General features: G+C 39.8%; 1 protein-coding gene across 1 annotated transcript in view; it reads left to right on the top strand.

The window, feature by feature from the left end:
* The window catches only part of PHLPP1 (PH domain and leucine rich repeat protein phosphatase 1), a 264,893-nt gene that overhangs the window by 227,954 nt on the left and 21,872 nt on the right, over positions 1 to 15,067 (top strand). Inside the window, exon 12 of the mRNA NM_194449.4 lies at positions 1,615 to 1,777. Within this exon, the coding sequence (NP_919431.2) occupies positions 1,615 to 1,777 (163 nt within the window). The remainder of the gene's footprint in view (positions 1 to 1,614; positions 1,778 to 15,067) is intronic.

Genomic DNA, 15,067 nt, shown 5'->3' on the forward strand with positions numbered 1-15,067 from the left:
CATTACCCATTAGTTTCAAGGCACACAAGGGCTGGCATCTGCTTCTGGTGAGTCTTCAGGAAGCTTACAATCATGGCAGAAGGTGAAGGGGAGCCATTGTGTCACATGGTGAGAGAGGGGGCAAAAGAGATGCCAGGGTCTTGCGTGAATGCACAGCGTGTGAATTCTCTGATTACCATGGGAAGGGCATCAAGCCATTCATGTGGTATCTGCCCCCATGACCAAAACACCTCCCACCGGGCCCCACCTCTGACACTGGGAATCACGTTTCAACATGAGATTTGGAGGGGACAAATAATCCAAACCGTATCACTATATTTTTTTCAAAATATGATGATAACATATTTAAATAATATTCTCAGAAATTCGGGCTATCATAGATGGATTACTTCATAGTCTGTGTACATATTGTTTGTAGTCTATTCTGATACCACACTGGATGTATATGATATTAAAAGGTCTGACTTCATAAGATAAAAACTTAGTTTTTACTGTATCTTAGGCATATATTTATTTTCAAGATAAACAAGATAATCTTTATATTTGAAAGATGACAAAAATAATACAGTGGTTTTTTTTTGTTAAATTCTTTAAAAGTGTATTGTGACAAATGAAACTATAACAGGTAGAAACAATACCAAAAAATGTAAACTATTATTCAGCTTATGAGTCTGGATCACACTAATGGGGAATCCTGTGCTTCTTGGAGTCTAACATCAGCAGGAGTGGAAAAAGGGTCAAAAAAGTGCCAGATACTATTACAGTGATTGCAGAGGTAGAGGCATTGTTTTTTCTTTCAAATTTATAAAGAATGCAAGAAACCCTGATTCTGGAATTTTTCTTTAGTTGGTTATTGTAATTATTGATGAAGATTATAGATGAGGAGGATTGAACAATAAAAGACATTCTTAAACAGAAGTATTAAATTAATTACATTAGAACATATTATTAAGATAAGGTTGGAGAGATTCCTTCTTGGTAGATGTTTAGCAACAATTGAGATAAATGTCTTTTGGCCCTGGTGTGAATTTGGGCTCTGCCAGAAGTCCAAGAGGTGATCCAAATGGGCTTTTAACACACCCCTTGCTCCTTACCACCACTTTGTATTCATCAGTGATGTCAGAGGAGTTGGGGGAGTGAGGGTTGAAGAAAAAGCTTATCTTAATATGAACTATAGACCTGTTCTCTACCTCCCCCTTGAGTTTTCAGTGCCACTACAAAGAAATCATACTCTCTGAGCTCTTTTAAGGCAGTTTTATTGTATTAGTGCTGGCTTTTGACCCATTTAAATAGTGTTTTCATTAGTGTTCAGACCAAGCTATACAGTAACATGATTATTGCCAGGGTAACTTAATTTCCACATAGACTTTTAGGAGGAAAAGGGCATCCATTTTCCTTCTTGTTGACAATTTGAAGAGTTGAATAGTTTTTGTTCTGTAGTGAGAAAGGAGGTGTTAAAATATTTCAGTACTCCAAAATGATAGTGAAAAAATGGTCTTGTTTGTAAAAATGACTGTTACAAATGAATCCTTAAAGTCATAGCAATTTAATTCATCCTTTGATTCTCGTCCTATATTATTTTCTTTTAAATTGCTTTATTTTCTCTTTTTTTAGTAAAATGGCGAAACTGGAGGAACTTGAAGAAATTGATCTCAGTGGGAATAAGCTGAAAGCCATCCCAACAACGATCATGAATTGCAGGCGCATGCACACCGTGATTGCTCACTCCAACTGCATCGAGGTCTTTCCCGAAGTTATGCAGCTCCCAGAGATCAAGGTATGTGGTTTCATTTCATAAACTCTAAGCTTCAGGTCGGCAAAGAAAGTTGACTTCCTAACTCATCAACTCAGGACGTTTGCATCTTTGTTGGATTTATTCAGAATGAAGGCCCCCATTAGCCCTTACTTCCTCCTTCCTAACCAATGGGCTACACCGTTGAGTCGGCAGAGTTAAAAAACAAAGCAAAACACTGGAGCAGGTTTTGGGAAAATTGGATTTCTAGGCTGAGTCCCTCACTTACTGTATGACATGAGGCTACCCACATAGCCACCCTATACTTCTTTATCTGTTAATAGTTGTTCCACTTATTTCCAGGGTGGTTATGAGGCTCAAAGGCTGACGCTGGTGTAATCGCAGTTTGAAAAGGTTAACAGTACCACTACACATCGCTCCCTACCAACTCACCCAGTTAAATAGCACACCCCACCATATTAGCCCACTAATGGTAATTCCCTATATAGACAGAGCATCATTGCTGTCACCAAACATTGATTTCAACGGAATGAAATTGGCAGAGCAGATATTATTGTCATTTGATAAGTAAGGACACTGAGGTGCTGAAAAGTGAAGCAATCTGTGTAAATTAAGACAGCAAATTGGTAGCAGAGGTAGTCTGCAAATCCTGACTGCTGACTTGAGGTAGATTCATGGGATGAAACCAGTTCACTAGAATGAAAGCCATGTAACAACCATGTGTTCCTATTTTGTTTCTTTTCTGGCAGGGAAATGGTACAGAAGTAAAAAGTTCTTTATATACAATGTAGTTTTTCATTTGTATCTTAGCATTTCTAGTAATCGATTTTATGCTTAATGAAAAATAATTTGGTGGTTACAGACTTGGAGCATATTCTAATCTCCTAACAGGGAACAAGAGCAGTCCAACTTAGCCATTCTTCACTTTCCAGGCACTTGCTGATATAAACCTTGTGTTTTAGATTAAGAAAGCAAATAGACATTTGAAGACATTTTAAATGGCTTGCATAACTTTTTTTTGTTTTGTTTTTGAGATGGAGTTTCACTCTTGTTGCCCAGGCTGGAGTGCAATGGTGCAATCTTGGCTCACTGCAACCTCTCTCTGTCTTCCGGGTTCAAGCGATTCGCTCGCCGCAGCCTCCCGACTAGCTGGGATTACAGGCGCCTGCCACCATGCCCAGCTAACTTTTGTATTTTTTTGTAGAGACAGGGTTTCACCATGTTGGCCAGGCTGGTCTTGAACTCCTGACCTCAAGGTGATCCACCCACCTCGGCCTCCCAAAGTGCTGGGATTACAAGCATGAGCCACCATGCCCGGCCGGCTTGCATAACTTTTTATCACAACAGTTTTTACACATTTATATGGTTGAGATGTGTACAAGCCATTTTGTTTGTGTGTGTGTGTGTGCGCACGCATGTGCACGTATGCTTTAAGCCACAAAATGTTTTACTTTGGGCTTTAAGAACACTGTCTCATACATCACAGTGGCATTTTAAGATGTTTGTTATAAATTTCCAGAATTTGGCTGGGCGCGGTGGCTCACGCCGGTAATCCCAGCACTTTGGGAGGCCAAGGCAGGCGGATCATGAGGTCAGGAGATCGAGACCATCCTGGCTAACACGGTGAAACCCTGTCTCTACTAAAAATAGAAAAAATTAGCCGGGCATGGTGGCTCGTGCCTGTAGTCCCAGCTACTCGGGAGGCTGAGGCAGGAGAATGTCATGAACCTGGGAGGCAGAGCTTGCAGTGAGCCGAGATCGTGCCACTGCGCTCCAGCCTGGGCAACAGAGCGAGACTCCGTCTCAAAAAACAAACAACAACAACAACAACAAAAATTTCCAGAATTTTTACTTTCTGTATAGTAACTTTCACATTGAGGAAGAGCCGTGCTCTGAAGGGAGACAGACCTCCAGTTGGATCCCAGCTGAAAATTCACTGCTCTGTTTCCTCGTATGTTAAAGAAAGAAAAGAATTGGTACTTCCTTTATAGTATTGTTATGGAGATGAAATGAAATAATACATGTAAAGCATTTGAAATAGGAGTGTCACATAGGAAGAACTCCCTAAATGTTAGCCATTATTAATCAACACATGCCCTCAATGTGGTTCATATGTGATGTTGATTATATAGAGCAACTATTTTGGCTGAAGCTCAACAAAATCCAAGAAATTTATTACTTAAGCAAATGTTTATTTGCCGTTCAGCACAGGAAAGATGTTGTCAGCTAGACCTTCCAGGGTTTCCTCAGCTGCCCATTACTTGACACAGTGGCTGTGCTGTGCCATCTTTTACTGGGGGTTGTTAAACTGGTCTCTATGTGTGGTGCAGGTGAAATTCTAGCACAAGAGAAAGTGAGAGTCTCAAGATTAAACCTCCTATTTGCTGGTCTTAGTGTCTGTATCTGTCTTTTAATGTTATAAACTCTTAAATGTAGATTTAGATTCTTGTTTTGGGGTTCTTTGTTTGTTTAAGTATTTGGTTTAAAATACAAATAGAGGCCTGGCTTGGTGGCTCACGCCTGTAATCCCAGCACTTTGGGAGGCTGAGGCAGGTGGATCATGAGGTCAGGAGTTCGAGACCAGCCTGGCCAACATGGTGAAACTCTGTCTCTACTAAAAATACAAAAATAAGCCAGGCATGGTGGTTGGCACCTGTAATCCCAGCTATCCAGGAAGCTGAGGCAGGAGAATCACTTGAACCCGAAGGCAGAGGTTGCAGTGAGCCGAGATTGCGCCACTGCACTCCAGCCTGGGCAACAAGAGCAAAATTCCATCTCAAAAAAATAAATAAATAAAATACAAATAGAAATTCAGGCCAGGCACGGCAGCTCCTTGGGAGACTGAGGCAGGTGGATCACCTGAGGTCAGGCTTTTGATACCAGCCTCACCAATATGGTGAAACACTGTCTCTACTAAAAATACAAAAATTAGCCAGGTGTGGTGGCACATTCCTGTAGTCCCAGCTACTTGGGAGGCTGAGGCAGGAGAATCACTTGAACCCGAGAGGGGGAAGCTACAGTGAGCCGAGATCACACCAATACACTCCAGCCTGGGTGACAGAGTGAGACTTCATCTCAAAAAAAAAAGAAATGTAAATGTTTTTAGATTATAACTAGATTTTGCAAAACACAAATTTTGCTGTATGAAAACTAATCCTCTCCTAGACTCTTGCTTGGATTCCTGGATTACAGAATCAGTACCTTTGTTGCTATTGAATTCCTTCCCCTGTTGTCTTCTCTCTGTACCTGCTTTACAACTCCTTTTCAATTTTACTTCCCATATTTTTAAATGGTTTCCATTTTTTTGCTCTTTGGTTGATTTTCCCCCCAGCTATTACACCTTAGCATTTTTCTTATGTTAACAATATCCATTCTTTCAGGCTGAGCTCCTCCATTACCAGTAGATAGAAGTTTTGTTGTTGGGATTTTTTTTTTTTTTATACTTTAAGTTTTAGGGTACGTGTGCACTGAGCAATATCAAGTATCCTTTATGTACAAACATGTAAATGTTTCATCCCTGGACAGATAGTATTCTTGAAAAAGATAGTAGTTATATTGTTTCAGAACTCTGAATTGATATTTTTGTGTCATATGAGAATATTTTAAGTTGCAATATAAGTATGTATATTTGAATATCTAAAAGAAAATCTTGTAAAAATTGTGCGTATCTTAAATGATAAATATACCTATGAAAGTCTTCATTGTAAAGTGTGCCTATTTTTATGTATTTTATGTAAACTAAGCATATTTTTAATGTAAAAGAAGTAATTTCATTTCTACGGTGATATATTCCAACCTGTATTAAAATTTTATTATTGAGTTAATAACTCTAGATTACATTAACACTGTTTCTTGAAAATAAAGTGCAGTAGGTGTTACTTGTAAAGCATATAAAGGTATTAAGATCATTGCAATTTTAAAAACTTAGCAGATAACATTTCAGAAAAGATAAGATCATGGTGTATTTAACTAGCTAGTTTCACCAAGCATTGCTATCTTTTCAGACATTAAAAGAAAGTGATTATTCATAGCTTTGTTACCAAAGTTTTAAAAACAGTTATTGTTTAAAAGAGCAAACAAATCTCCGTACTGAGATGTATGCTAAAATATGTTTTTAAAACACCTGAATAATTAATTATTCATGTACACCTTAAACAGACTATTTGCACCATCTAATCTTGGATAAAATTGAGCTCTGGCATTTTTTTCATTTTGATAATATCTAATGAGATCTGTAAAGTGATCATCAGGTGTTAATTTCTGTATTTGGATAGGGAGGTTATGTAAGTTATTAGTAGGAAAAATAAAATGAGTTTTTCAGAATTTTCCAGTGAGCCTGAGTGGATCATTAGTGTTATTATCCTCACCTTTGTTTAGCCCTTTCGCATTGATCTTTCAAACCCCTACCACCAGTCCAGTTTTGCTTGGAGCAGATTGTGTTCTCTTTTGGTTCTGAAACAGACAGGCCTCCCTCTGGATACAGATTAGCTCTTGATCATCTAGTAAGGAAAACAAGATCTGAGTCACACAGACGCCAGACTTGGTTTGGCTGGACCTGGACCTAAGGCCATGCTAAGGCTGCTCATGGCTGAGGAACCTCAGAAGCAGAGGTTGGATATGGCACTTGTTTCTCCTTCCACTGAACTGCATAGCAGTCACATTGGTAATATAGTAATTTTGCAACAAAAACCAAGCTATTAGTTAATAGTGACCTATTCTAAACCCTTCCCCCGCTTTTTTTGACATAGGTTCTCTGTCACCCAGGCTGGAGCCAGGTGTTCTAACCCGTTTTTGAAGTGTATTTTAAGCAGGTGAAATAAGTGTTGATACCTGCGGTGAATGAAGTTTGTAATTTGGGATTTAAACATCATGTCAGCAACTTCTTTGTCAAATTTCCATGTTCCTGTGGCTTACTGATTCTAAGAACAGCATCTTTTTAGATGTTTTAATTATCTTTAGAAGATTATTTTCATGTTTGTTCCATGCAGTAATAAACTACTTGGCTAAGTTGAGTGAACTTGTATCTAAAATCTGTGTTACCTTAACTGGGAAATGGAGTATGAAGTAGTTTTAATATGCTATACTCTTGAGGACAATGGCTATAGGAAGTTTAAAAAATAAACTGAATATAGATCAGCTCTCAATCAGCTAGAGAGAAAACCACAATCCCATAGTCACCATGTAGCCAGACTTCGCTTGGCTGGATTCCAGCAAGCCCTGTTTGTTGTTGTTCTTGTCTCTAAAGTAAAATGAAATAGAGAATATCAGCTCAATCACAAAGACACAAAGAACATGGGGAAATGGCTGGGTAGAATGGATGGAAGAAAGTGGGTTGATTCTTGGGGAAGTAGGAAATGGATATGAAGACAGGTCAGGAACCAAGTTTAGGCTTTAGTTGGGTGGCGTAGTTGACATAATAGACGTAAAAACGTCAGCTTGGCATAATGCATATCCAAAACCTGAAACCAGGAGCAGTCATTATTATGGTGCTGGAATCAAGTTAAGTAATAGTTACTGAGGAAATTTTCCAACCGTTGCGGAATCTAATGTCAATTCCTGTTTGGGACAAGGCTCGATACAAGGACTAAGGAAAGAGGAAGCAAGCAGTGTCTACTGGAAAGTGGCCATTGAAGCCACTCTGCACCCAGCCTCACCAGGAACAGACTAGCAGGAAGTTAAGACTGCATATTCTCTCTGTCTTTCAAAATTGGTGTAATGAGTTAACCCAGACTAGTTTTTTTTTTTTTTGAGTTGGAGTCTCTCTCGCTCTGTTGCCCAGGCTGGAGTGCAGTGGCACGATCTTTGTTCACCGCAAGTTCCGCCTCCCAGGTTCACGCCATTCTCCCACCTCAGCCTCCCAAGTAGCTGGGACTACAGGTGCCCGCCACCACGCCCGGCTATTTTTTTGTATTTTTAGTAGAGACAGGGTTTCACTGTGTTAGCCAGGATGGTCTCAACCTCCTGACCTCGTGATCCGCCCGCCTCGTCCTCCCAAAGTGCTGGGATTACAGGCGTGAGCCACCGCGCCTGGCCAACCCAGACTAGTTTTGTGTGTGTTTGTTTTTAACTCTGGTTTCAGCAGATCTTTCTAAATTCAAAGCCATGCCCATTCTAACAAAATATTGCATACATTTTATGGAATAGCTTATGTATCTATAAAGATGAACAATTAGTCCTTCATGAACTCATGCATTTTAGAAGGCATCTCTTTAGAGAGGCTTCTGGAGAAAGGAGCACCATGACTCAGTCCTCAGAAGAAGTGATCTGTGAGGTGGTTACTGTGGTGCTCTTCAGATCCTGAGGGCAAAGGGAAGTGCACTCACGCACCCAGAAATCTGGGAGATGCCTGGAATCACTTGTAAATTTCTTTTCAAGTCTCTTTTTCAGTCTAAAAATCATGCTCATTTTATGTTCTACTTTTTATCATTTCTCTTTTTTTTAATGTAAAAATAATGGCTCTTTCCCTTCTCAATCTGAGTAAAACTAAAGCCCCCAGATGCATGTGCCAGGCATCCTGTAACTTTGTAGTATACCATTGAGTACCCCCAAGGGCACACATAATTAATTTTTTTTTTTTTTTTTTTTTTGAGACGGAGTCTTGCTGTCGCCCAGGCTCGAGTGCAATGGCGCGATCTTGGCTCACTGCAAGCTCTGCCTCCCGGGTTCACGCCATTCTCCTGCCTCAGCCTCCCGAGTAGCTGGGACTACAGGTGCCCACCACCTCACCCAGCTAATTTTTTGTATTTTTTTTTAGTAGAGACGGGGTTTTGCCATGTTAGCCAGGATGGTCTCGATCTCCTGACCTCATGATCCACCCGCCTCGGCCTCCCAAAGTGCTGGGATTACAGGCGTGAGCCACCGCGCCCGGCCATAATCAATTTTAAGAAGTGCTGGTGGGCTAGGCACGGTGGCTCATGCCTGTAATTCCAACACTTTGGGTGGCTGAGGTTGGAGGATTGCTTAAGGCCAGGAGTTCAAGACCAGCCTGCGCAACATGGCAAGACCTTGTCTCTTTGGGGATAAAAAAAGAAGGGATGATGTAAAGAAATTGTTCAGTTTATACAGGATACATTTTCTTAAAGTCAAAATTTGCAGATAACTTAGTTTTAGTGTTTGAGGAAATTCTGTATTTGAACAAACAGAATGCTAAGGATTGTTACCCTGCTTGTCATTTTTATCACCTCAAATTCTTGCCAATTTTAAGGTTTCCCAAGGTTTCTTCTAGGCTTCCCAAATCTAAAATGCAGTTGAGAAAATCATGGAGACACTGTATGTAAATTTAAAAGGAATGCTTTATACAAGATTAAAGGTCTTTCTTTGCAGCTCCCTATAAGGTGAGGAAGTTTAAACATTAATGCACATTTCTCAGTAATTATATACAAATATGATTTTTTTAAAAAAGAGGGTCTTGCTCTGTTGCGCATGCCGGAGTGCAGTGGTGCAATCATAACTCACTGCAGCCTCAACTTCCTTGGCTCACAGGAAGCTCCCACCTCGGCTTCCTGAGTAGCTGAGACTCCAGGTGCTCAGGAGCCTGGCTAATTTCTTAAAATTTATGCGGAGATGGTCTTGCTATATTACCCAGGTGGATCTCGAACTCCTGGCCTCAAGCAATCCTTCCACAACGGTCTCCCAAAGTGCTGGAATTACAGACGTGAGCCACTGCACACAGCCATAAATACAATTTTATGTAGAATAATAGTACTACACTGTGACTCTCAGGTCTGTGTTTAGGGTAAAAGTTGAGTTCAGACTGACTCATTCAGTTAATAAACCTACTTAGTTGTATCAACATCCCACGTTAGTGATCACTTAGCCTTTTATAACACCAGGAATGTATAGTAGTTTAAGAGAATTTGACTAAAAGTTGTATATTGAGAAATAGTACATATGTGTGCATATTTATTTTACTATTAAGCTAAAATGTTCTAGTTCCTATAGCATCATAAGAAAGGGAGGCAGTGTAGACTACTTCTGTATGAGACACGATCTATAGGATCCACAGTTCATTATCTGATCCCTCTGCCTGCCCAGCCTTATCTTCTGCTCTGGGGCCCAATAGTCTCCAGCCTCAGCAACTGCTCATAGTGAGTTTCCTGATATGCCACACAAACGTTATTCTTGTCTCCTTCCTGCTGTACCTGCTATTAGCTCTCTCTAGATGTCCACCTGTTCTCACATGCCTGATTAACTTTGATTCTGCACAAAAATCTTCTCTGGAAAGGCCTCTCTGGGGTCTTGTTATCTGTCCCTGGGCTGCTATGACCTGTGCATACTTCTGCCATATCGTTGATCATACCAGCTAAAGGTGTATTGTTTATTTCCCCCCACTATCTTGGGAGTTCCTCAAGGGCAGGGACTGTGTCTGCCATCTCCATATGTCCCTGATGATGGCTTATTGCCTGCCGATTTGTAGGTCCTTAATACATTTTCTTTTGAAAGAATACTTGCATTTATTTACTTCTTATGAAGTCAGTAGGGAAATATGTTATACACTAGCAGCTTTTACCTTGCAAGGGCAAGGAAATCCAGACTGTGATTGGGATCCTCATTTTTGGAACTGACTGTGCCACTGGGGAGCACGGTGGAGGTGGTGGACTGGGGATAGTCTGCAGGAAGGAAGGAAGTAGGGTGTTACAGAATCTAGCAGCCGGTAGGTTAAGTTGCCATTTCAGGGCAGTACAGGCAGCTATTTGGCAGATGATATATAATACTTTGCTATGAACATTGATATGCCTGTTTCTTTGGTAATGTTCTGAGGAAAACATAATAAAGACAGGCTCCATGCAGCTTTTGTGATAGTTACACTTAAACTATACATCAAGTTGAATTTCTTTTTCTTTAAGATATAATGACTTTTTTATGCTCTTATCTAAATGTGTTTGTAATGATTTTCCTCTAAATCAAGAGTTCCTTCTCAGCTATGAGTTATCTCACTTTTTCTGAGGGTTGCATAATTTTTTGGGCATTCTTACCAGAATTTTGATTATAACAAAGTAATTTTTGTTAGCTATATTCTAGAATGGGCCTGAAAGAGGGAAAGATAATTTTCTTTTAGTCGTGTTTTAGCCAGATTTAACATTCTATTGAATATATTTTTAAGAAAGTTGTAGTACACTAACCATAGAGGTACATATATTAACAATATAAAGGGTCTTTTTTTATTCCAGTTTCACTCAAATATTTTCTATTTGCTTAGTGGTAACCATTATGATTCAGCCAACAAGTGTTTGTGGAGTACCTCAGCAGTCAGCCTTTGTTGAGGACTATTGAAAGAACATGACAGAGTGCTTCTAAGCGTGTTGCTCACTGTGTTAACACTGGGAGAGCAGCACCAGATACCAACATCCTGTAATTTTTTTTTCAACTTTCTATAATTTCTGTGAACGAACCTCCTTCCTGTGTGCAGAAGTATAAAAGGGTGTTTTTGCTTATCTGCCATTAAAGAAAATGGTTGCATTCTTATGTAGAAATAAACTATGATATTTAAAATGTATTAAAATTGCATTAAAATGCTATCTATTCTATGCTGAATTTAACCTAAGCACTGGTATCTCAGTTCCCATCCTAGCAGATTTAATTACTGAAACACCTTACAAGAGTCCTTCATAAACTCACTGAGAAAATGATTGTCATGTGCCAGGCAATCATTTGTTCATCCTTTTAATGAAACCATTTGTTGAACATCTACACTTTCCAGTGCACTGCGCTTAGGATATCCGGGGAGAAACAGCAGCAATCCCTGCTCTCTAGGAGGCCATAGTCTCATGGAAGAAATAAGTAAGCAGATAATTATAACAAGGGACACCAAATTGAAACAGGTTGTAGTAGAGTTGGCATTGAGTTGAGTCTTAAAAGGAATCAGGCATATTGCACCAGATAAAAAGCAAGAAAAGCATGAAGAAAAGAGTTCCAAGCACAGAGAGAAGCATGTGTTAAGGCACAGACAGATGAAAGCATGTCACATGCATGAGCTGCAGGCACTCTGGCATGGGTGGAACATGGAGTGTGAGGAAGCCAGTGTGCAAAGTTGGGGATGCCTTGTTGGACATTCTGAGGAGTTTGGTGTCGGGTTGAAGGACACCTGGGAGCAGGCTGACGGACTGAAGCTGGAGTGTGAGCAGGTGGAGTAAACCACACTGAGAAACCATCCTGACAGCATACAAGGAGTACATTGAGGGAAGCAAGACCAAAAGCAAATTTCTGGTGCAGCCAGAGCCCTCCGGGGGAAATGGGATGCAGGTCAGTCCAGGGTAGTGGAGCTCGACGGAAGGGAACCTGCTGCAGTGAATCAGAGACTCTGTCACAGGAGCCTTGGGGAGCAAACAGTCCTGGGCAGAGGGGAGGCACAGGAACATCATCTCTAAGAAGGTCTGCATTACAGCCTGCAGCATTATCTTCATAAGTAATTAGTTACCCTACTGAACTCATTTCATAATTTGATAATTTAGAGAATGAGCTAGTTTATATCTGTAGAAAAAATTTTTACCAATTTCATAAAATTCAATATTTCTGCAGAATGCCTTTAATCTTTGACCAAAGGCATTTTCTGACCCCTGAATTTTGTTGTCAACTACTTGCATCCTAAATTACTCACACTTATTAGCTCTTTATTTCCTGTCCCATCAGTGTCCAGTAGATTGTGTATATCCCCATTTGTTGTCCTGCTATGCTGATGTGTACTGACTCTGTTGGTAGCATGTCCCATTATTACCCAGTATTATCGGGTATCAGTTTTTCATTAAACTCTGGTTGACTGTTGATGTAACCATTATTTATAATTGAAAAAAACAAAACAAAGCAAAAAAGAGATGACTGTTTTCTCCAATATTTAGGTTAAGTAAATTAATGTACATCTACTAGAATTAGTATGGGGCTATTAAAGGTGGTGGTATATTAGGGCATTCAGGCTGCTATAACAACATGCCTTAGACTGGATAATTTATTAACAACAGAAATTTCTTGCTCGCAGTTCTAGAGGCTGGGAAGTCCAAGATGAAGGTACCAGCAGATTTGGTCTGATGAGGCCCCATTTCTCATAGATAGTTCCTTCCATGTATGCTTGTCAGGTGCAAAGAGTGAACAAGCTGACTGGGCCTGTTTTATAAGGCCACTAATCCCATGCATGAGGGCAAAGCCCTTATGACCTCATCTGTTCCCAAAGGCCCCACTTCTTAATACTATCACGTTGGGGATTAAGTTTCAGCATATGATGAAAATTTGTTGGGGGACAAACATTCAGACCATAGCAGATGGGAATGAAGATGGGGAAAATGGTTGCAGTAGAGTGATAGAAGAGTAAATGAAATGTAATGAAATTGCACCTATGTTTGAGATTTTTAAGGCTTTTAAAAAATATATATGAATAAGACTATAAGGAAAAAAAAACAGAATGCTAACCCTGGGTGTGTTAGGGTGGTAGATTTAAGGGTATATTTTTCTGAGCTTTTCTTTTTGCTCAGCTTTTTGTGGATAATGTGGTTATAATGCTCTCATAATAAAATATGATTATTTAGAATGGCAATATAATTTTTTTCATTGCTACTATTTGGAAGCAACTGTATGAAACATTTTGTGTGAGAGCATTGTGTTGTTTGAAGCCTATTGAAAATATATTTACCCAAAAATACAGGTTTTCATTTTACCCAATCTCTACCCTTCCCCAATCCCTACTAGATTTAAATTCTTTGAGAATTTTTCCAAATAAAAGGAAGATTTTGTCCACTTTTAAGATCCTGAAGTTCTTGAGTATAATCTCCCTCCTCCCTTTTTTTAAAGGACTGAAGAGAGAACAAAACAATTCCCCTCTGATCGTTTCTGTAAGCACTTTTGAAACTTACAATAAGGTACTAATTCAGCCAGATAATTGAATGCTCTCCACCCCATACTATATACTATATATATTCTGCATTGTTGTATCTAGAGCGCTGACCACTCCGTTTCTCTTGTGTATGCTGAGCCTTCTCCACCTAGGTTCCCTGCTCCCTGAACACAAGGGCAGCCCCTCTTTTTACAGTACACCTTATTTAAGCTTTACATCAGTTTTGTGAGAAAGGAGCTATAATTTCTACTTACAGGTAAAACCTGATTTTTTTGTAACCAACATGACCCTTTTGTGATTTTTCTTTCAAGTTAAATTAGGGAGGACCTGTTGGAGAGTCCAGATGTTGATGCCTTGAGGGTAGGATCCATACTTGACTCAGCCCCTTTTTTTTTTTGACACAGATTAGGCAGGCTTACCTGCTCATCTTGCTTTTGCCAATTTCTTATTCAGTTTCTTTTGAAATATCTTCTCATTTTGAGTGTGTGTTACCTGCCTTTTCCTCATTTTACATGTTCTTTTCTTTGTTTTTTGTTTGTTTGTTTGTTTTCTGTTTTGTTTTGTTTTTTTTGAGACAGGGTCTTGCTCTGTCGCCCAGGCCAGAATGCAGTGGTGTGGTCTCTGCAACCTGCACCTCCCGGATTCTTATTTTTTTTTTTTTGGTGAGATGGAGATTTACTCTTGTTGCACAGGCTGGAGTGCAATGGTGCGATCTCGGCTCACTGCATCCTCCACCTCCCAGAATCAAGCGATTCTCCTGCCTCACCCTCTCTAGTAGCTGGGATTACAGGCATGTGCCTGGCTAATTTTGTATTTTTAGTAGAGATGGGGGTTTCACTGTGTTGCCCAGGCTGATCTCGAACTCCTGACCTCAGGTGATACGCCTGCCTCTGCCTCCCAAAGTGCTGGGTTTACAGATGTGAGCCACTGTGCCCGGTGCACCTACCGTATTCAAGTGATTCTCATGTGTCAGCCACCTTGAATAGCTGGGATTACAGGCTTGCGCCACCACCTGGCCAATTTTTGTATTTTTAGTAGAGATGGGGTTTCACCATGTTGGCCAGGCTGGTCTCAAACCCCTGACCTCAAGTGATCCACCCTACTCGGCCTCCCAAAGTGCTGGGATTATAAGCGTGAGCCTCTGTACTCAGCCTTCTTTGTTTTTTGTTTTGTTTTAAGAAATTCCTTTAAAGTTCATTTTAATGTTTGAGCTATAGTTCTCATGGCACGGAGATTTTGTGAGCAATAAGAAAATCTATTAGGATTTTTTAGTTAATGCTTAATTTTAAACGTGGAGATAAAATTAAGTGAAAAATATAGGAAGAATAAAGAACATGGATTTTCTGTTATTCAAAGAAAATTAAAAAATTTTTTTTGCATTTAGCAAAATCTATTTTAAATGTTTATGGCAAAGTAACAGATAAGCCTCCTTTTCCACATTTGTCTAGTGTATTATAATGAATGGTCAGACTGATTTGCATGCAAAGAGTAGG

The sequence above is a fragment of the Homo sapiens genome, chromosome 18, assembly GCF_000001405.40.
Source record: "Homo sapiens chromosome 18, GRCh38.p14 Primary Assembly".
Classification (NCBI taxonomy): Eukaryota; Metazoa; Chordata; class Mammalia; order Primates; family Hominidae; genus Homo; species Homo sapiens.